General features: G+C 50.0%; 1 protein-coding gene across 2 annotated transcripts in view, besides 10 other annotated features; it reads left to right on the plus strand.

Moving 5' to 3' along the window:
* The window catches only part of RPTOR (regulatory associated protein of MTOR complex 1), a 421,531-nt gene that overhangs the window by 310,145 nt on the left and 89,967 nt on the right, over positions 1-21,419 (plus strand). For both annotated transcript variants that reach the window (NM_020761.3, NM_001163034.2), the window contains exons 12-13: positions 482-565; positions 2,808-2,918. In NM_020761.3, the coding sequence (NP_065812.1) occupies positions 482-565; positions 2,808-2,918 (195 nt within the window). The remainder of the gene's footprint in view (positions 1-481; positions 566-2,807; positions 2,919-21,419) is intronic.
* Positions 263-794: an enhancer, noted in NCBI's record as "H3K4me1 hESC enhancer chr17:78829045-78829576 (GRCh37/hg19 assembly coordinates)". NCBI's record gives its function as "activates a minimal SCP1, AML or CMV promoter by ChIP-STARR-seq in naive H9 embryonic stem cells {active_cell/tissue: H9 hESC(naive)}" and the evidence as "EXISTENCE:reporter gene assay evidence [ECO:0000049][PMID:30033119]".
* Positions 795-1,325: an enhancer, noted in NCBI's record as "H3K4me1 hESC enhancer chr17:78829577-78830107 (GRCh37/hg19 assembly coordinates)". NCBI's record gives its function as "activates a minimal SCP1, AML or CMV promoter by ChIP-STARR-seq in naive H9 embryonic stem cells {active_cell/tissue: H9 hESC(naive)}" and the evidence as "EXISTENCE:reporter gene assay evidence [ECO:0000049][PMID:30033119]".
* Positions 795-2,554: a biological region, named in NCBI's record as "BRD4-independent group 4 enhancer GRCh37_chr17:78829770-78830969".
* Positions 988-2,187: an enhancer, noted in NCBI's record as "BRD4-independent group 4 enhancer chr17:78829770-78830969 (GRCh37/hg19 assembly coordinates)". NCBI's record gives its function as "activates an origin of replication core promoter dependent on BRD2, P300/CBP, MED14 and CDK7 cofactors, and independent of BRD4, by STARR-seq in HCT116 cells {active_cell/tissue: HCT116}" and the evidence as "EXISTENCE:reporter gene assay evidence [ECO:0000049][PMID:35650434]".
* Positions 1,507-1,801: an enhancer, noted in NCBI's record as "tiled region #3754; HepG2 Activating DNase matched - State 15:Elon, and K562 Activating DNase unmatched - State 5:Enh". NCBI's record gives its function as "activates a minimal TATA promoter and a strong SV40 promoter by Sharpr-MPRA in HepG2 and K562 cells {active_cell/tissue: HepG2 | K562}" and the evidence as "EXISTENCE:reporter gene assay evidence [ECO:0000049][PMID:27701403]".
* Positions 1,538-1,687: an enhancer, noted in NCBI's record as "active region_12946". NCBI's record gives its function as "activates an Ori minimal core promoter by ATAC-STARR-seq in GM12878 lymphoblastoid cells {active_cell/tissue: GM12878}" and the evidence as "EXISTENCE:reporter gene assay evidence [ECO:0000049][PMID:35858748]".
* Positions 1,624-2,554: an enhancer, noted in NCBI's record as "H3K27ac-H3K4me1 hESC enhancer chr17:78830406-78831336 (GRCh37/hg19 assembly coordinates)". NCBI's record gives its function as "activates a minimal SCP1, AML or CMV promoter by ChIP-STARR-seq in primed H9 embryonic stem cells {active_cell/tissue: H9 hESC(primed)}" and the evidence as "EXISTENCE:reporter gene assay evidence [ECO:0000049][PMID:30033119]".
* Positions 1,698-1,847: an enhancer, noted in NCBI's record as "active region_12947". NCBI's record gives its function as "activates an Ori minimal core promoter by ATAC-STARR-seq in GM12878 lymphoblastoid cells {active_cell/tissue: GM12878}" and the evidence as "EXISTENCE:reporter gene assay evidence [ECO:0000049][PMID:35858748]".
* Positions 2,555-3,484: an enhancer, noted in NCBI's record as "H3K27ac-H3K4me1 hESC enhancer chr17:78831337-78832266 (GRCh37/hg19 assembly coordinates)". NCBI's record gives its function as "activates a minimal SCP1, AML or CMV promoter by ChIP-STARR-seq in primed H9 embryonic stem cells {active_cell/tissue: H9 hESC(primed)}" and the evidence as "EXISTENCE:reporter gene assay evidence [ECO:0000049][PMID:30033119]".
* Positions 18,295-19,254: an enhancer, noted in NCBI's record as "H3K27ac-H3K4me1 hESC enhancer chr17:78847077-78848036 (GRCh37/hg19 assembly coordinates)". NCBI's record gives its function as "activates a minimal SCP1, AML or CMV promoter by ChIP-STARR-seq in naive and primed H9 embryonic stem cells {active_cell/tissue: H9 hESC(naive and primed)}" and the evidence as "EXISTENCE:reporter gene assay evidence [ECO:0000049][PMID:30033119]".

Consider the following 21,419-nt stretch of genomic DNA (forward strand, 5'->3'; position numbering starts at 1 on the left):
TACATTTGCATAACGGAAGTACTGTGCCGCCTTTGGGAATAATATGGTCAGTACATACCTACTGATATGAACAATGTTCACAGTGCATTGTTTAGTTTAAAAAGGAGCTGAGAAATAGAATCACATATTATCTAGTTCAAGATCAGTAAGAGAAGTGTGGACATAAAGAACAATGTCTGAGTTCATATACCTAAATGTCACCAGTGGGTTAGCTTTTTAAATGCAATTAAAGCATGTTTGTTCTAGTATTTTCTACATTGAGCATCTTTTATCTGTGTAATAAAGGCATAAAGCGTGTTTTCTTCACCTGTCTAAAAGCATGAACTTGTAAGGAAAGGAGCACCAGCTCTAGGTAACTGAAGCAGCAGACAGATCTGAACTGTGGTCAGACCGCTCCAAAGCTGGCAGCTCATGCAGCAGCGTTTCGGGGTTGCACACCAGTATGGTTTGCAGTGATACCATTTTCTTCTTGTTCTTCCAGGTGCTGTTAAGCCAAGTGCACCGGCTGAGAGCATTGGACTTGCTTGGAAGATTTTTGGACCTGGGTCCCTGGGCAGTGAGCCTGGTGCGTGCCTTCCGCATTAACCTGGGGGCTGAGGGAGGTGGGACAGAGATTAGGCTCCGTGTTTCAGTCTGTGCACGTATTTCATGATCCAGAGCCACCCCCAGCCGTGAGACCCAGGGCGAGTGTGTCCACCGTGTTGGTGTCCTGTCACTCCTGAGGCCCTCAAGGAGCCCACTCTGTACCCGTGCAGCCTGCAGTGCTGCCTGGCGTTTGGGGGTCTGGGGTTGTCGCCCCTCTTTATGTCTGATGTTAGACATAGGAGTGAGTGTGTTGTCGGCCGGTCACCTTTTCCTGAGCCGCCCCCAGCGCTGCGGAGGAGCAGGGCGCCCCTGAGCCTGACGCAGCACCCACCTCGTGGTGCTGCTTCCCCCAGGAGGAGTCTGGATCCTCAGCACTGTCTGCTCACCATCATGGCAGGCACAATTCGGAAACGCTCTTCTGGTTCCTCATTCTATAGCAGAGTAGTAATGGCCACTAAAAACACCCTGGCAGAGGCAGGATCAAGAAGCGACGTGCGTTTAACAAATAACTCACAGGGAAAGTAAAAGGAGGCTGAGAGGGAACCACAGAGTCAAGGAAACTCGAGAGACCTATGGCCAGCTGCCATGTACAGTAAACCTTACTTGGTTCTGTTGAAGTTCCAAAAATGAATACTCATAAAACAATTAGAAATTTTACAGGTGCTGGATTTATGTTATTCAAGAATCATTGTTCGTTTTTCTTGGGTGTGGTAACTGGATCATGTTTTTATAAAAGAGACCTAATTTTTTAGAGATAGACACTGAATATTCACCAATGAAATCACATGACATATGAGCCTTAATTTACTGTGCTTGGGAGCGGTGCGGTGGGGCGGTGGGTGCGGAACCGCTGTCACTAGCTGGGTGGTGAGTACCTGGGTTTGGTGTATTTAAGTATTTTCATCAGATAATGTTGACAAAGAGTGGTAATTGATAGTCCAGCACTGAAGGACGAGAGAAAACATCCAAAACTTGGAAGAATCATTCAGCACTCACCACTGGGCCATTTTCACTCCAGGTGCCTGAGGCCACAAATAGCTTGTAACAGAGTCAGGGCCTGAGTCATCGGAGGAAGGCTGGCGTGACTCGGTCACTTGGTGTGTGCGTGGTGGTGTCGCTTAGTCATCCTGGAAAGGCCTGCGTGGTATTGCGTGCACTCTAAGAAGACAGGAAGCATGTATTCATAACAGTTTAGAAAGAGTTTCATTTTTAAGGTTAATTTTTTAAAACCAGTTTCTTCCCTTTAAAGAATTAAGCTTCTGCTCATTGGAAATTTGCCTAATACATGAATCGAGGCTGGATAAACGAGGTATTTTTACAGGTACAGATTTTGCCTCTCAGGTGAGGGCCCAGCCACCCGAACCAGAGAAACTGCTCATACCTTGTTAAATGTGGCCTTTCACAGGGAAGGGACCCAGGCCTAGGTCCCACCACCACCTCCTGTCTTGGTTACAGGGGACCTCACTTATTGGAAGGTGATACCTTTAGGATATCTTTGAAATTCCAGCAGCTTTGAGATAAGGACACAGCAGAAACCCCTGGCTGTGGAGTGCAGCAGTACTTTGCCAGGCATCCTCCACACTGCAGTGCCCTCCACGCCCTCCCTCCCCTGCCTCTGAGGGCAGAGAGTCCCCTGAGAATGACATGGCCAGAACTGGGCGCCAGTGAGCCCCTGGGCAACCCCCGCTCCTCCCTGCCTTTCCCAGGGCAGGCATCTTTCTCCCAAGGTGTATCTGAAGTGCAAACATGAGTGTTGAGCAAGCTGGCCGTGCCGTCACGGAGAGGTGGCCGTGGTGTCACGGAGAGGTGGCCATGCCGTCACGGAGAGGTGGCCGTGCCGTCACAGGTGGCCGTGGCTCGTACGTGAGCAACACAGTGAAGGTGCCTGATGCTCTGCTGCCAAGAGCAGACGAGGCCACTGAGGGCAGGCAAGGGCCCCAGGCGCAAGCAGCCTGCGCCTCCACAAGGAAAAGCTGCCACCCGATTCATTCCAGTCTCTTGACACCAGTCAAGGCTGGCAGTATGTGGCAGCTTCTAGGAATAAATCAGAGATGAATAAATCTGGAGGAAGCCCCTCTTTACTTTAAGTGAGGCCCATTCATTCCTGTTGCGTTTCCCATATGTGCTGAAGATAGCACCGCAGCTGGTCCCGCGTGGCACCCCTGCTGCTGCCCGTTCCCTTGCTGCGGCACAGGTGCGCTGACGCCCTCCCTCGCCCCCAGGCCTTGTCTGTCGGCATCTTCCCCTACGTGCTGAAGCTGCTCCAGAGCTCGGCCCGAGAGCTGCGGCCACTTCTCGTTTTCATCTGGGCCAAGATCCTCGCAGTGGACAGCGTGAGTATCCCCGCCCTCCTCCCCAGAGTGATGTGAACCTGCCGGCCCTTCTGGGGATGCCGAGCCCTGCGTTTCCAGCCTGCCCTTTCTCCAGCCTCGCTCCCTCTCCAGGCACCGCCGTTCCCTTCCTCTCTTCTGGGGTAAAGTGGGACGCGCCCGCCTCGGCAGCCACCTCTGGGTCGTGGGGGCTGTCACCTACCTGTCCTGTCCCTGGCCTTCCCCTGGTACCCTGCGCTCAGTCCCCCCACACCGTCCTGTCCCTGGCCTTCCCCTGGTGCCCTGCACTCAGTCCCCCTGCCTGTGTCTGACCCCCGTAAGGCTGTCCCCGTGCTCCTGACCCTGACTGGAAGCAACCCCGCCATGGCATAAACTTGGCCTCTGCCTCGCCCAGACCCCGCATTGGCTCTCCTGTGCCCACCATTGCATTTCTCCCCCTCCTCAACCCTGCACAGGTGGTCTGGGCCAGGCCCCGAGGTGTTAGGGGCCACCCCCTTACACGGGGCTGTCCAGCTCTGTCCTCTCTGACGGGCATCAGCCCTGGCCCTGCAGCCATGTGTTCGCCCCTCAATCATCTAGGCCAGGGACCCATATTTAGCTATGTTAAGAGAGACACAAGGTCAGCTGTCCCTGTCCCCAGCGGCTTATGCTTGGGTGCTGGCAGGGGTTGCAGGTGACACCAGCCCTGTTGTGAGGCAGGGTCACCTCCTGCAGGAGCTACCAGCGAGATGGGTCAGAGGAGTGGGGCTGAGAAGTCGTGTGGGCGAGACCCGGCCTATGCTGAACTGGAAACGCCAGGAAGGGCCTTGAGGGGGTGGATGTCGGGCGGGGGTCCAAACATGGAGGTGGCAGGGAGGGCTGGGAAGACATTTAGAGGAGGGCAGGCCACTCCCTGTGGCTGTGTGCGGGGACACGCAGGGAGGCCCCATCCACGCAGACGGTGCACGGTTCCCGGTAGACACAGTTGAACTTCATTTAGCAGGCATGGGGATTATTACAGATTTTGGAACAAAGACATCAAAGAATGAAGCTGTGGTTTATAAACATTGCCTGGCCTCGGTGTCAAGTGGATTGTAGGGAAACACGGGGTGGAGAGCATTTTCCTCCAGGAGGGTGGGCAGAGGAGGTCGGGCTGCAGGGCTGGGAGGGCGGCACCAAGCCTGGGTTGGGAGAGGCGACTCGGGCTGAAGCCTGTGTGGCCGGCTGGGGCTCGGGGAGCCTTCCAGAGACAACTGGTCAGGAGCCCTGTGCGGCCTAGGAGCAGGGCTGGCCCGATGCCAAGACTGGGGACCTCGTCTACCCAGTGGTGATGGCAGGCGAGACCCTCGAAGGAAAATGTGGAAGGCTCAGCTGCGGGAGAACTCTCGAAAGCTCCTCGTGTGACACAGTGGAGAGGAGAGCTGTACAGAGTGGTGCAAAGGGTCTGGGAAGGGCTCATTTATAGAACGTGAAGATTCTAGAACAAAGGGTGTGTGCTGAGAATGGAGTTGGGGGATATGTTGCCCTCTGCAGGGTTGTTGGGGACAAAGATTTCCCAGAGATGCCTTTGCCTTTAGCTGTCCGTGTGCGGAGGGGCACACGTGTGTGATACAGAGCTGGGCTCGGAGCCAGGTTGGCAGGGAGCCCCGGGAAGAAGCCAAGTCAGTCTTGCTCTGGGGGTGCCGCCACGGGTGAGGAGAGCGGGACGGAGGAGCCGGCATCAGGGCAAGGCTGGCTTTGCTCCCTGCTTGGTTTTGAAGCAAACCAGCCCCAGCAACTCATTAGAAGGCCTGTAGGAGCAGGTCCACGTTCCCCCCGGACTTCGGCCAGCTGCTGTGTGCACGTGTGTGCGGGGGTGGTCATGTATGTGGGCGCTTGTGCGTGCATGTGTGTGTGGCGCCCTGTCAGGCGGCTTTCATATGCAAAGTCTCTTAATTCCTAAGTCCCCTGTGAAGTTAGCTTGAATTTGCAGCCTATTTACTGGTGAGGCGCCGCCCACAGGAGGGAGCAGGGGCCACATAGCTGCCATGCGAGGGGCCGGCACCCCACTGGGCCCCTGCGCCGGGTCTGGAGCTCCTTGCCCACACAGGGAAATGGAAGGTCTAGCAAAGTCACAGAGCAAGTACAGGAGAGTGCCAAGAACACCTTGGAGAGGCCATGGCTTGGAGCCGGGGAAGACCACCCTTTCCTTTTCTGTGTGGCAGGTGAGGGGAGAGTGGACGGAGCTTAAGCCCCCGGGGCTCCTGCCTGCTGCCCGGCGCTCCCCAGGCCACATTCTGTCAGCTCCTCCGTCCAGTCACTGGCACTGAGACCCAGCCTCATCCTTAGCCCTGTCAGCCATGTCGCACTGGCCACCAGGACCTGCTGTGCTCGCTGAAGCTGCCCTGTTGGGCTTTGTTCAGCCAAATTCACTGACCCTGTTGTCCAGGCACTGGCAGGCACCCCGAGCCACAGGCTCGTACCCCGCACTGTGCGCTCTCACCCGTCAGCCCTGCACACCCCACACAAAGCCACTGCTGTGTCTCCCACCCACAGCCGCTGCTGATTCAAGTCCAGCCCAGGCCATCAGGTCCCCAACTGTGCTGCCCACGGACCCCTGGGCCCCTGCTCAGCCCTTCTGCTCCCTGCACCCAGCCCTGACCATAGCCTCCCCACACCCCAAGTCCTCACGTACTACTTTGGTGTCACAGCTGAAGTCAGGGGGCAGTGGGGAGGCTGCTGCCGAAGCGGACGGTGAGGGCTTCCACCTTGGAGGCAGGCGTCAGTCGTACCCAGCACCAGTTGACCTCTCGCTGGTTCCGCTGATTCTTGTAGATTCCCTGGGATTTTCTGCTAGTTCACTGGTTCTTGTAGATTCCCTAGGATTTTATGTATATGCTCTCTCCAAGCAGAAGCAGCTTCCAGCCCCTCTTCCGGTTCTGGGATCTCTCACTCTTTTTCTGGGCCTGGGGCACTGACCATGGCTCTGCTGGCACGGGTCGGCTACCGTGCTTGCCATCTCTCCCAGCTGCTCCTGATTTCCTGAGCTGGATGCGGGGAGCTGCTGCTCTTCCTCTCAGCACAGCTGAGGTTGACCTTGACCTCAGTTCAACCTTGAACCCTCCTGGGCCCAGTGCTCTGCACCTGGCTGTGACCAGAGAACGCTCCATAATGGTGACCTGAATACCATATATTTCAGCAAAATATTTTCCCTGCTACCCATTAAACTACAGATAAAGAATGACTGCTTTGAAAGATTGGCTAAAGCACTGGATTTAAGGTTAAAACCCTGAGTTTGATCCCATCACCGCATTTGCTCTTACAAGTCATTTTCACTTCCCTTGGCCATGATTTGCCTCTGTAAAATCATGAGCCTTCGGCCGTCTGCCTTCAGCCACAGTTCCAGAGCTCAGAACCAGGACGTGGAAAACTGCTGTGTAAATTATAGAGGAACAGGAACAGGACCAGGAAGGGGCACCACGTAAATCTCACATCTCTCCTGCCTGTCCCTGTTACACTAAAACCTTTTCTTGCTAAACAGAAAGCTTGGCTTTGTGGATCAGGACGCGAGAGGTGTGGGTCATTTCTATTTTACTCTTCTTCAAATTCACTGAAGAGCCACATTATGTAAACAAAGGGTGTTTGGCAGGAAGTCATTTTGAAACGTGGTTTCTGTCCTACACCCATATCTTCGTCATCTACATGGACACACTTAGAAATATCTTGGCACCTGGCCACGGATGAAGGACCATGTGTAGGGGCTCTGGGATGCACAAAACGGTGACCCTCACATGACACAAAGCCCAGGGTGAAGGGAGGAAGAGATGCCATCTGCATGCAGAGGTCTGGGATTACGGCCGCCTGAGCCTGCTCCCCAGCACCGCCAGTGCTGCAGGAACGTGTCTAAGCCAACTTTGATTCTCAGACTTCGTGTTTTTAGTACCTTTTAGGACCTGGAAATTGATGATGTCTTTATTTTTAGTCTCAGGGGTGGCTCTTGGTGAAAGGGGACAGCCTTCCTCGTACCTTCCTCGTGACATTCTCACTGCATCCACAGCCCATCATGGTATTGCAGTGCAGGGCGTCTTGTTTAAAACTGGCTCTTGGTCCCGTGGATCTCCCAGGGCCTGTTGCTCTCGAGTGCCCCAAATGGCAGAACGTGGCCATGAGCACGGAGGCTGCAGCGTGCCTTCGTTTTACACCCTGCTCCAGGCAGATACCAGGGCCTCGGGTTTATTATTCATGCTGCTGAAGGGGTCATCTGCTCAGTACTGCTTGGGGAGCTGTTCCCACAGCCAGCTGGGCATGCCCTTGCCTGCAGTGTTCTTGTAACTGCCTGCAGGCATCACAGGCCTTCCTGTGAATTAATTTCTTAACCAGCTTGTTGCACCTGCATGTTTAAAAGCAATCATTCCACTGAGGGGCATTTTGAAGTGTTTCCGGTAGAAACTGAGCCTCGTCTACCTCACCTGCCTCGCCCTTCCTTCCATCGTTACCCTGGCGATAACTTCCCAGAGATGAAAGTTCCCTGTGTTTTTGAGGGGTCATTCCTCTACTCCCTTCCCCTCCCCACGTCTGGCCATGGATGTTGCTGGCGGTCCTCCGGATCTCCACCCCTACCCCCCCATGATGTGTGCACCCCCTACAATGTGTGCATGCCCCTCTGTGTTGGTGATGGTCCTCCGAAGCTCCGCCCACCATGATGTCTGCTCCGCCCCCTCGTGTTGCTGGTGGTCCTCTGGAGCTCCGCCCACCATGATGTCTGCTCCGCCCCCTCCTCGTGTTGCTGGTGGTCCTCCGGGGCTCCGCCCACCATGATGTCTGCTCCGCCCCCTCCTCGTGTTGCTGGTGGTCCTCCGGGGCTCCGCCCCCACATGATGAGTGCCTCCTGCAGCCCTCAGCCGTCCCTGTGACTCCTGGGGCTTGCCATTGTGCAGATCGGGGTGCACATGGTGTACAGACGGGTCCACCTGTGAAGATCGCAGAGCCTGCTCAGAGGTTCAGAGGTGCAGACAGAAGCCAGCCACTCCCCCAGTGTTCTCAGCATCCCCCTGCTGCCGCCAGCCGGCCCTCAGGACACACTTAAGAGTTTGAGAAGGATCGGAGCCCACTCAGGCTGGGCCCAGCGGAAGGGCGAGCCTGGGACCTCCCCTCATTTCCCAAGCACCTTTGGGGCACACCGTGTGTCCCATTGTGCCAGAAGCTCTGAGGGATTCATGGGGAGGCCTTAAAGAAGGTGGGCTCGGGCGGAAGAAAAGACGGAAGAACACCATGTGCCACCGGGGAGAAGTGTGTGCCGTTTACATGAGACAGAGCAGGGCACAGTGGTGACACTGATCTGACACAGATGGTACCGCACAGGACAAGGAGCACCAAGGGGGGCACATGAAGAAAGCCGTCTGTCCAGGATTCTCCCAGGACTCTGATCCCAGAGGGCCTCCCCCAGCATCACTCCCCATGCCAGGTTACACTCCACTTCACACTACCAGCCAGAAATTACCAGGCAGATAGAATCAGGAAAATATGACCCGTAATGAAGAAAAGGAAATCAACCCATTAAAACCTGCTCAGAACTGCTGCAGGTGTTATCATTAGCAGGCCAGGACATTAAAAAGTTAGAAGTCTACTCTACATATTCAAAAAGTTAAATTGAGACACGGAGAATATAAAAAGAACCCAACTTGAATTTCTAGAGATGAAAACTGCAATATGTGATGGGAAGAAATATACTTGATGGGATTAACAACCAGTTAAGCATTGCAGGAGAAAACAGTACACGGTTAGGCACGGGGCTCACGTCTGTAATCTCAGCACTTTTGGAGGCTGAGGCAGACAGATCACTTGAGTAACCAGGATTTCAATACCAGCCTGAGCAACATGGTGAAACCTCGACTCCACATGAAAAAATACAAAACTCAGCCATGCATGTTGGCGCGTGCCTGTAGTCCCAGCCATTCAGAAGGCTGAGGCGGGAGAATCGCTTGAGCCCGGGAGGTCGAGGCTGCAAAGAGCCGTGATTGTGCCATGGCACTCCAGCCTAGGGAACAGAGTGAGGCCCTGCCTCAAAGAAAGAAAGAAAATAGCAATAGAAACTAACAAAAATGAAGCATGGTAAGAAAAGAAAAAAAAATTTAATTAAAAGAATATTATTCCATTGCGGGACAACGGCAAGTGACATAACGTACTATTTGGGGGTCCATAAAGGAGGCTAGCAGAAAAAGTATTTGAAGAAACAATAGCTAACATTTTTTTGAATTTGATGACAATTATAAACCCACAGATCCACAAAGCTTAGCAAACCCCAAGCACAAGAAAACTACACGAAGGCATATCGCAATCAAATTACTTGAAAAACAGTGAGAAATTCAAAAGTCTAAAGGCAGCCAGTAAAAAGCCAGTAAGGAGCAAAGGTGAGAATGACGGCAGGTTTCTTCTTACAGATTTCCTACAGATGGAAAAGGTGAGAGTGACGGCAGGTTTCTTCTTACAGATTTCCTACAGATGGAAAAGGTGAGAATGATGGCAAGTTTCTTCTCACAGATTTCCTACAGATGGAAAAGGTGAGCGTGATGGCAGGTTTCTCACAGATTTCCTACAGATGGAAAAGGCAGACAGCGGAACAGCATCTTTAAAGCAGAGAGAGAGACAGAGAAAGAGAAAAAACTGTCAACCTAGAATTCTATACCCACTGAAAATATATTTCCAAATGGAGGCAAAATAAAGACTTTTAAAGACATACAAAAGATGAAAGCTTATCCCCGGCAGATCCACACTACAAGAAACGTGAAGTCCTTTAGCCTTGAGGAGAATACTCTTCAGAGGGAAACACGGTTCTACACAAAGGAATTCAAAGCAGCAGAAATGAGTACTATGTGGATAAATATGGGATTTTTTTCTTTTTATTTAAATCTTCTTTAAAAGATAATTGTTTTAAGAAAAATAATAACAGTGTACTATGAATTTTTTTCAATAAGCCTTTTGCACTCTTAATTTTTTTTCCTTACGAGACAAGGTCTCATTCTGTTGCCCAGGCCTGATCACCGCTCACTGTAAGCTCACACTCCCTGGCTCAAGCCATCCTCCTGCCTCAGCCTCCCGAGTAGCCGGGATCACGGGCACAAGCCACGGCACCCCACAGAATGTATAACATTTGTAAGAGCAAAATGCATGCTAACAGTAACAAAAAGATGGGGAGGAGAGAGAATGAAGAAATACTATTGTAAGATTCTTGGACTTTGTTTGAAGTGGTCTCATATCACCTGCCTGAAGATGAACTGCAGTAGTCCATAAACCCTAAAGCTGCCACTCAAATTTTAAAAAGAATTACAGTTAATTAGCTGACAACAGAGATGATATGAAGTCATAAATATAGACAACACGGAAGGAAAAAGATAACCAAGAGTAGATGTAACAAATAGAAAAAGGCAGGATGATAGATGGACACCTAATCCTGCCCGTCACTGCAGTGTGGAGACTGAACGCCACAATGAGAAGGCAGAGGCCACCAGGTTGAAGAGCAAGAAAAAACCATACCATGGCTACAAGCAATGTACTTTTGGCATAAAGACACGAGTAGATTGAAGGCAAAAGGACGGGAAGAGCTCTGCCATGCAGGCACTAAGCAGAGGAAGGCTGCAGGGCCTATGTTAATATCAGACAGAGGAGGTTTGGGAGCAGAGAACGTTGCTAACAATAAAGATAGACATTTCATAATGCTACGGAAGTCCATTCATCATTCATCAAGAGAACGTCGCAGTCCTAAATGTCTATTCACCTAATAATAGAGTTTCAAAATACATCCAACAAAACTGATGGAACTGCGAGGAGAAGTAGATAAATCCGTAATTACATTTGGAGGTTTCAGTGCTCCTTTCTCAGTAACTGACGGAACAAGCAGAAGAGAAATCAGTAGGAATAGTGGGGACTTGAGCAGCACTCTCCAGCAGCTGGGCCCTGACGTTTATAGAACACGCCACACAGCAGCCATGCAGTGCACAGAGGCTGTGCCACGATAGGCCCGACCCTTGGCCAAATAAACCTCAACAAATGTAAAGAACTGAAGCCTTACAGGCGTGTTCTACAGCCACAGTGGAGTCAAACTCAAATCAATAATAGATAGTAGGAATGTCTCTAAGCACTTAGAAACAGAAACTTTTAGATAAATAAATGATTTTCATTTCATTCCATAAAATTTTAAGTAAATTAATATATATGTGCTTAATGCAAAATAGAATATAAATATGTAATATTAAGATACATAGATATTATAAGTCGTGAATAACAAAGATTTATATAAAATATTTATTACTATAAGTATGTATATATAATATATAATATAATGTACATATAATTATAAATACTTGCATTAAATAAATACATTATATAAACATGTATATTAAGATATAAAATAAATAGGTTGAGTATACGTGGACCCAGCTCTGAACAGTGCTGAGAGGGGAGTGTGTAGCAGCTGCTAGACAATGCATTGGAAAAGAGGGACGGTCTCCAACCGGAGATCCCGGCTTCCACCTGAAGAGGGCAGCGTGAGTGGAGTAAACCCAAAGCTGTCGGCCAAAGGAAATGATACAAATCAGACTGGAGACTAATACGAAAGAAGACAGTGAAACATCAAAATCTGTTGAACAAAACATTTTTTTAAAAAACACATGAATAAAACTGTGAAACACCACCCTGACTGATAAGGAAACAAAGAAGACACAAATTCCAGCATCAGGAATGATAGAGGTGACATCATGAAAGATTCTAGGGATATTAAAAGGATGATAGGCAAATATCATGAGCAACTTGATGGGAGAACATTTGATAACTTTGATTCCTTGAATGACACATACCACTCACTGAGGAAGACATCATTAATCTGAATAGCACTATGCTTCTTTTTTTTTTAGAGACTGGGTCTCACCACATTGCCCAGGCTAGTTTTGAACTTCTGGGCTCCAGCGATGCTTCCACCTTGGCCTCCCAAAGTGCTGGGATTAAAGCCTGAGTCACTGTGCCTGTCACTACAAGTGGAATTTGTAGTGAAAACTTTTACTACAAAGAAAACTGCAGGTCCAGATGACTTCGCCAGTGAATTTTACTGAACATTAAGGAAGACGTATTTGGATGACATCTAAGCACCTTCCCATATTGTTCTATGAGGCCAGCATTACCTGATACCAAAGGTTAGACACACGTTACAAGAAAAGAAAACTACAGATAAGTATTCTCTTGAACACAGGTACAAAAATGCTAAATAGAATTTTTGCAAATTAAATTCAATGCTATTTAAAAACAAAACATGATCTAGTGGGATTTATTTCAGGGATGCAAACCTGTTTAAGGATTGAAAAATCAATGGATGCCTCTTCAGATTATTAAAGAATTATTTTTAAAGAGAGAAAAGTCCATGTAATTTACCATATTAAAAAAAGATGAAAACCATATTACCATCTCAAGAGATGCAGGCAAAGTATTTTAACAAAATCTGAGATCCACTTCTGATTTAAAAAAAAAAAACTCCCTGCAGACTCCTAATAGAAGGGAACTTCGTCTACCTGACAAACAGCATCTCCACAAACTTACAGCCAACACCATACAGTGGTGAAAGACTGAATGCAAGATGAAGCCATCTGTTCTTGTCACATCCCTTGACATTGTACTGGAAGTTCTAGGTAGTACAGTGAGTCAAGGAAAAAAAGGCATTCAAGTTCAAAAGGAAGAGGTTTAACTGTATTTTCAGACAGCATGATTGTCTATGTGGAGAATCCAGTTTAATCTATTTTAAAGTGCTACTAGAAAAAATTTAGTAAGTTTGCAGGTTATAAGATCAATATACAAAAATCAATTTATGTATATACACTAGCAATCAACAATTCGAAGTTGAAATTAAAATAGAGAACATTTACAATACCACTAAAAAAAAAGAAATACTTAGGGATACATTCTGACAAAAGGTGGGCAAGATCTGTACACCAAAACTACAAACCATTGTGAAAAGAAATGAAGGAAGACCTAAATAAATGAAGAGATCGTCCGTTATCTTGATTTCTGCTTCTGAGATCCACATGGAAATACAAAGGACCTACAGCAGGCAAAACAACTTTGAAAAAGAAAAACACAGTTGAAGGACTAATACTACCTGATTACAAGAGTGACTGTAAATCCACAGTACTCAAGATCGGAAATAGCTTCAAATGGACAAACAGATAATGGAACAGGAAGAAAGTCAGGGAATAGACCCATACATATAAACACCTGCCCTATGATGACATGGAGAAAATGAAAAGGCAAGACACAGACTGGGAAAATATTGACAAATCGTTTTTCTGTTAAAAACTTGTGGCAAGAGTATAGAAAGAACTCTCAAAAATCAATATGAAAACAAACACAAGCAGACAAAGAAAATTGGGCAAAAGGTTTGAGCAGACACTTCACCAAAGAAGTACAAATGGCAAATCAGCACATGAAACAATGCTGAATATCATTAGTCACCAGAGAAATGCAAACTGCACCCACAGTCTTATACCACTGCACACCAAGTAGATGCCAGAAATGCAAACTGCACCCACAGTCATATACCACTGCACACCAAGTAGATGCCTAAGAAGCTGCTGTTATCAAGTGTCGGCAAGGCCGTGGAGGAACTGGAACCCTCGTATGCTGCTGAGGGCAGTGCAAAGTGTGCACTACCACTTTGCAAACTTATTTCACAGTTTCTTATAAAGATTAGCACACACTCAGCATACAATCCAGCCATTCCTTTCCTAGGTATTCCCCAAGAGAAATGGAAGCATGTCCACACAAAGGCTTGTACATGAATGTTCCTAGCAGCTTTATTTATAATGGCCAAAAACTGGGAATAGCCTAAATATACATTAACAAGCGGATGAATAAGCAAACTGCAATCTTTCCATGCGATGAAATCGTACTCAACAATGAAAAGGCATGAACTGATCTCAAAATAGTTAGATTGAGTGAAAGAAGCCAGTTTAAAGAAGGGTACCTGCTGTATGGTGCCATTCATTTAAAACTCTAGAAAATGCAAACTACAGTCACAGAAAGAAGATGAGCTGCTGCTGGGGGCAGGTGAGGGTGGGGGCACAGGGGCAGAAGAAAATGTCTGAGGGGCCAGACCCCACCTAGACTGTGGCGGTAGCTTCACAGGTGTAGACGTACGTCCAAAATCTTCAAATTCCGTACTTCAAATTTATATGTCGCTTATACATCAATGAAGCGGCTAAAAAACTTCTCATTGTGGGACAGTCTACAAAGAACTGTACTGTTCCCTTCTAGATTTTATTTTGTTTTTTTATTTTTTCTGAGATAGAGCCTCACTCTGTCGCCCAGGCTGGAGCGCAGTGGGGCGATCTTGGTTCACTGCAACCTCCGCCTCCCGGGTTCAAGCGATTCTCCTGCCTCCGCCTCCCGAGTAGCTAGGACTACAGACGCCTGCCACCATGCCTGGCTAATTTTTATGTTTTCAGTGGACGAGGTTTCCCATGTTGGCCAGGCTGGTCTCAATCTCCCGACCTCAAGTGATCTGCGTGCCTCAGCCTCTAAAGTGCTGGGATTACAGGCGTGAGCCACTACACCTGGCCCCCCTTCTAGATTTTTAATTCAAGAAACACCCCCAAAAATGTGGGGGGATTTATTCTCAAGACTAATGTGTATCAGCTAAGTGCAGTTCCTAGTTGGATCCTGGATCAAAAATCAGAGGCTCACAGAGGACAGTTGTGAACAATTGGGAGGAATTTGACTCTGGACTGCGTGTCAGGCAGCAGGATTGGGAGGAGTTTGACTCCAGACTGCGTGTCAGGAGGGAGGACTGTGTCGCTGTCACGTGTCTGGAGTGTGATCATGGCTTTGTGCTCATGGAAGCAAATGTCCTTTTCCTTAGGAATATTTCTGGGCAAAGCGTCATGCTATCTGCAACTTTCACACAGTGCAGAAAAACACAGGGGATCAGGGGGCAGAAAGCAAACATGGCAGAGTATTTTTTGAAATTGTCCTTAGGGTCATGTGATGGGACCAGAGCTCAAGAGCAGCAGAACTTCATGATGAGAAAGTCCAGGAGATGTGGCCACAGCTGTCTTCCGCTGGTCACACTTTGCAAGGATGGTGGTAGTGGTTGTTTTAATAAGTTCCTCAAGCCTGCTGTTAGCATTTGTGTATCTGCTAATTAGCAAGATTAAGGAGGGGGAGAGTTAATTAAGGACTCCCGTAGGCAAGGTTCCAGTTAATTGAGGGTTTTTCATAGATAAAATTAATACTCAGTCCAGACTGACCTTCTGAGTTATAGTTAATAAAGTTGTGGTTATGGTACCACCAGGGAACTCCAAGAGCGTAATGTCAGTGGATCTGGAAAGATGCTCTGTGATGGTATTCATGAAGTAAATCCAGATTTGGAAATTCAAAGAGGCTTCCCACTGGGAACAGGCTGCTGTGGTCCCCGGAAGGAACCCGCACTATGAAGAAAAGGCAGATGAGAGAGTCATAGAATTTTGTTTCTGCAGCCCCCACGTCTGTGCTGGTTCTCCTACCCGTGCTCAAATTCTCTACTGTTTTCTCTGCAAAGTCGTTTCACCACAGTTCGTGTATGCTGGCGTTGATAGCCTCTCCTCTTCCTGCTTCTCCACTTTTCCCCACTCCCCCTTCCTCACACACGTACACGCAAAACTCAATTCAAAAAATGTGCAAGGTTAGCTTTCTCTGTCATCCAGCGATGACTCAGTCTCACCAAGGGGGCAAGAGAGTGCCATCTAGAGCGTGTGACCCTGCTGGTCCCACAGCAGAAGGCAGTGCCCTGGTGGGGGCTAGTCTAGTTAGGACCTGAGCAAACATTTTACTTGTGTCCCGAACTCTTGTTCCTATAGTTTCTATCTTAACAAATTTTATTTTTTTAGAACAGTTTTAGATTTACAGAAAACTGGAAAAGGTAGTAAATAGAGTTCTCATGTACCCTACACCCAATTTTCCCTGTTGACATCTTCTATTAGTACAACATGTTTGACACAACAGTCAATGAACTTATGTTGATCAGTTATTAACTGCAGTTGATACTCTCATCAGATTTTCTTGCTAATGTCCTTTTTCTGTCCCAGGATCCCACATGACATTGAGTCCTCGTGTCTTCTTGGGCTTCTCTTGGCCGTGACAGTTTCCCAGACTCTCCTTGTTTTTGATGACCTTGACAGCTTTCAGGGGTACTGGTCAGGGATTTTGTAGACTGGCCCTCTGTTTTGATTTGCCCAATTTTTTTTTCGTTTGAGACGGAGTCTCACTCTGTCACCCAGTCTGGAGTGCAGTGGCGCGATCTCGGCTCACTGCAACCTCTGCCTCCTGTGTTCACGCCATTCTCCTGCCTCAGCCTCCCGAGTAGCTGGGATTATAGGCGCCCGCCACCACGCCCGGCTAATTTTTTTGTATTTTGTTTAGTAGAGACGCAGTTTCACCATGTTAGTCAGGATGGTCTCGATCTCCTGACTGCGTGAGCCACCGCTCCCGGCCATGCCCAATGTTTTTGTCCTGATTAGATTGGGATTTGGAGAGGAAGACCACAGAGGGGAGTGCCCTTCTGGTCCCGTCATAATGAGGGTGCATGCTGTTGGAATGGCAGATCCCTGGTGGCGCTGGCCTGGGTCCCTGGCTGAGGTGGAGCAGACCCGGCTGAGGTCAGGCGTCCCCCGGGTGAAGCCGCTGCTGCCGCCCCTTCCGGAATGGGCTGCTCTTTGGAAGGAAGTCGCTTGGATGTGCTAGGCTTTTGTTGCCTAAACTGCTTTATGTCTGTGGTTAACTTATTCCTTCCTGCAGTTTCATTATCTTTTTAGGGTCTAAATATAGTTCTTTTAATTTCCTCTTGTTATTTATATAGGCTTACTGTATAAGGCTTAGTCTTGGAGTTGTTTTATTTTATTACATTTTGTTTTGCATTTCTGGGATTTTTTAGTATTCCTTCTTTCAGTTTGCCCCTTCTTGAGCTAACCTTCCTGCAGTACCATCTTCCAGCTGACTGTCAGTGGATGAGGTGGAAACAGTTTTACCCTTTCTGCAGGGAGCTTTGCCAGTTAGGGACCCTTCAGGAGTAGTCAGGAACGCGCCTGTGCCCACAGTTGGGTGAGTCCCAGGAACGGCAAAAATGTCACCTAGCGTTCCCCCTGCTCATCTAACATAGTTTAATTGCCTTGATGGTCCATGGAATTTCCAAACTAGAGGTTGTGATATGCAGAAAATCAACAAGATTGCATTGCTAGGGAGCACGTTTGTGAAGCTGGCGTCTTCCACAGAAGCTGTCATCAGCGAGGAGGGGCTGTTGAGGGGACACATTTGTGAAGCCAGCATCTTTCACAGAAGCTGTCATCAGCGAGGAGGTGCCGTTGAGGGGACTCCGGGTGATGCTTTCGTCGTTTGGAAAGTAGCACTGCTGTGCAGAATGGCCTCTTTTTAGCCATCCTCCTAGTTCCATGTGGAGCCCTCAGAATGGGTTTTACTCCGGGCAGATTCCAACACACCCTCATGCTATCCCGGGAGAACTGCGGACCAGGAAGGCAGAGGCCCCTTCCTCCCACCCCCATGGAAGCCAGACCACACGAGCTGGGCCACCCAGCTGTCCCAGCACTGGGTCGGTCCTGGGAGACCACCCACCCCAGAAGAGACCAGGCTAGGTGACATGCACATTGGTGACAGGCCAGGCTGCAGGGAACTGGGTCTGTCGGTGCCCCCTGGGAAGGTGGGAGGTGTTTGGCTGGAGGGAGACAGTTGTATCAGCTGCCTCCGGGTTGCCAAGAATGAAATGAACAAAAGAGAGAGGAACCCGGAGGGGGCTGTCTGCCCAGCCATCCCAGTTCCAGGCTCTTTTCGCCTGCACCCAGGCAGACTAGACCGAGCCCTGGCAGGGGTGACGGCTCGCCCTTTGCAAGATGGATGGGCACAACGGGGCCCTGGCAGGTGGAGGTAGCACGGCAGGCTGTGCCGAGGGCGACCACAGAGGCTGTCTCTGTGTGGCAACTTCAGGGCCCCATGATTGATGGTTAGGCTGCTTGGAACCTGATCAAATCTCAGCTCAGCCTGCTGGGTGTGAGCAAGGGAGAGGGGATGGGGAGCCTGGTCAGCCTAGAGCGGGCCCCCCACCACTGAGGAGGCCCCGGGGGGGACCCCCAGCCTGACTTCTCCCTGCTCATGGCTGGCTCCTGTCCCACACTCTTTCGCTACTGTATTTCCTCTTCTTAGTATTAGAATTTGGATGAGAAAGGCACCACAGTTTTGACCTGAGGTCAAGGCTGGGTTCGTTGCAGGTCCAGAAGGCTGCAGCTCAGACACCTACTCTAGCCAGAAATGCCCGGGGCTCTGTGCGGTTCCAAGGGCTCCTTTGCCAGCCCTGCCACTGGGCACAGGGAGCCCCTCCACTACTCACCGCAGACAGAGCAGCTCTCCAGTGGGAAGCAGGTCCTGGGAGTGATTGGCATACGTGATCTGGAATTGTGATGTTTCTCCACAGCCCAAACATGGGTTCTTTTATTCATTCATCCAACATTTACTGAGCGCCTAATAGGAACCAGGACGTGCTGCCTCCTGGGACTAATAAAGACTAATAATGCATGTTTTTGTCCTCACAGAGCTGAAATCTAGCCCGGAAGGTGGAGGGTGGAAATGGCTAACTCAAATGCAGCAGCTTGGGAAGTGCAGTCCAAGTCCCTGCAAAGGGTGGGGAGAGAAGCCTTTGCAGAGGCTGTTGCCCGGGGACAGGGCCCCAGGCGGAGAGGACAAAGGCCCAGCAGGCAGAGGGAGCTCACCACATTCCCAAAGCCGCAAAACAATGAGCTCGGTGTGCCCCAAAGTCTGAGGAGCTGAGGAGAAAGGGGAAGATGAGTTTCTTTGTGCAGAGATGTTTCTCAGTCACCACTGTCACACTGCTGGGTTATTGACACCAGAATGTGAAGAATCTCACTGTCAGTGCCACATGTGGGAGGGCATTGCTTACCATGACTCAGCGTGGCCTCAGGGACAGTGCGTCAGGCCCGGCAGGACAGCACTCGGTCTGTGCTGGGGAAGTCGTGCAGACGTGCAGAGATACAGACATGTGGACCCAAGTCAGCCCCGGACTGAGCAGCGGGTACCCCAGAAGGGATGGGCAGTGGAATAAGGATTACATGTAGGGGCAGAGGACGTCTCAGTCTGTACCTGTCTATAGCATTTTAATGTTTGAGCCTTGATACCTACAAATTTTAGGACAGGTTTGAAAAAGATTGAAAAAGATGGAAAGCATGCCAGTGATTTTGCTATGGACATCAGATGCAGCATTCAGGGCCACTGTAGACGTGGGTATGTCTGGCCTGAGAATAACTAAAGGGCTTTTTTTTTTTTTAGACAGTCTTGCTCTGTCACCAGGCTGGAGTGCAGTGACATGATCTCAGCTCACTGCAACCTCCACCTCCCGGGTTCAAGCGATTTTCCTGCCTCAGCCTCCCAAGTAACTGGGACCACAGGCGCGTGCCACCACGCCCAGCTAATTTTTGTGTTTCTAGTAGAGATGGGGTTTCACCGTGTTAGCCAGGATGGTCTCCGTCTCTTAACCTCATGATCCACCCGCCTCGGCCTCCCAAAGTGCTGGGATTAGAATTAACCATTTACAGAAAATCAATGTGTCTATATTAATATATATATTTATGTTGAAATATCTTGCCTCACTTGGCGAGTGGGGAATACACTGTGCCTGGGGGTGAAGGTCTGAGGCGGAAAGCTTGTCTTGCACTGCTCGGTGGATGTTCTGCTGAAGTCGTGAAGAGCAGTGAGCTCTTGTGACCGGTAAACAGAAATCCCTGCTTCGGTATCATTTCCCCAGGCATTAGCAGTTTTATTGGCACCCACCATTGTGAAAACGCTGCACATATCAACATCTCAGCACAGCCCTCCATCTGCCTGCAGATGACTTCCCCGGTAGCATCCTCACGTTACGGTAACACACCACCGAAGGCTCACTCAGGAGCTGTGTTCTTGTTGGAAACTTTTTTCCTTCCCAGCACCCCGCTCATAACAAGGGCTAAACTCTTCTACCCAGTGGACATGAAACACGGCCCGTATCTCTGTGATTGTCTCTGTGTTCACGTCAGAACGCACGTGGTAGGGTATTTGCGTGAAATCGCGCGTGGTAGGGTGTTCGCGTGAAATGGCTCAGGGCTTGGCTCATCATCCTGCCTCCTTATGCCTTCCCCGTCAGGCACGGTGGTCTGTTAGCCTGGGCGTAATTCTTGTGTTCCTGCTTCTCCATAAAATAATCCTTAAAATCTTTGTTAAGGAGAATAAAGGGAGGGTCTCTTCCCATGGCATCTTTTGCCAGAATATTCAGAGGAAGAAAGCCCGCCCCGGCCTTACGGGTGCACCTTGTAGAAGGCAGGGCCTTGGCCAGGGGCTCCTCCTGGTCTCTGCCCCATTGTCGTGTCTGCTTGCAAACCACATCTTTAGTTGCTGCAACAACAAATACATGCTTGCATCTTCCCACTTTGTGTTTGCTCTTCTTCTCTTCTTCACCTCCCTTTTCCCCATTTAAAAAAATATAAGTTCCTGAAACCTGAGACACAGAAGAATCAAAATTGGCTTCAGTGTGTGGTGAGGGAAGGGGGCTTGCTCAGGAAAAAAAATGTCATGTTCATGCTCTTCCCACCTGCTTTCTACTCTGGCCTTCACATGTCACCACCATAGCTTGATCTGGGAGAAAACAAGCACAGCAAGATGGAGCCTGTTGAGAGGGCGGCTTTGGCAGATTCACGCTGCCGGCACCGTGCTGTTCATCTGAGCCCCGAGTCTCTGCCGGGTCTTCCACCAAGCCCCTCCGCCCAGGATGTGTGTGTCGCCTGCCGGGTCTTCCACCGAGCCCGTGCCACGCAGGGTGTGTGTGTCGCCTGCCGGGTCTTCACACCGAGCCTGTGCCACGCAGGGTGTGTGTGTCGCCTGCCGGGTCTTCCCACCGAGCCCGTGCCGCCCAGGATGTGTGTGTCACCTGCTGGGTCTTCACACCGAGCCCGTGCCACGCAGGGTGTGTGTGTCACCTGCCAGGTCTTCCACCGAGCCCGTGCCGCCCAGGATGTGTGTGTCACCTGCTGGGTCTTCACACCGAGCCCATGCCACGCAGGGTGTGTGTGTCACCTGCCAGGTCTTCCACCGAGCCCGTGCCGCCCAGGATGTGTGTGTCACCTGCTGGGTCTTCACACCGAGCCCGTGCCACGCAGGGTGTGTGTGTCACCTGCCGGGTCTTCCACCGAGCCCGTGCTGCCCAGGATGTGTGTGTCACCTGCCGGGTCTTCCACCGAGCCCGTGCCACGCAGGGTGTGTGTGTCGCCTGCCGTGTCTTCCCACCGAACCCGTGCCACGCAGGGTGTGTGTGTCGCCTGCCGGGTCTTCCACCGAGCCCGTGCCACGCAGGGTGTGTGTGTCGCCTGCCGGGTCTTCACACCGAGCCCGTGCCACGCAGGGTGTGTGTGTCGCCTGCCGGGTCTTCCACCGAGCCCGTGCCACGCAGGGTGTGTGTGTCGCCTGCCGTGTCTTCCCACC

This window comes from Homo sapiens, chromosome 17, assembly GCF_000001405.40.
Source record: "Homo sapiens chromosome 17, GRCh38.p14 Primary Assembly".
Taxonomy (NCBI): Eukaryota; Metazoa; Chordata; class Mammalia; order Primates; family Hominidae; genus Homo; species Homo sapiens.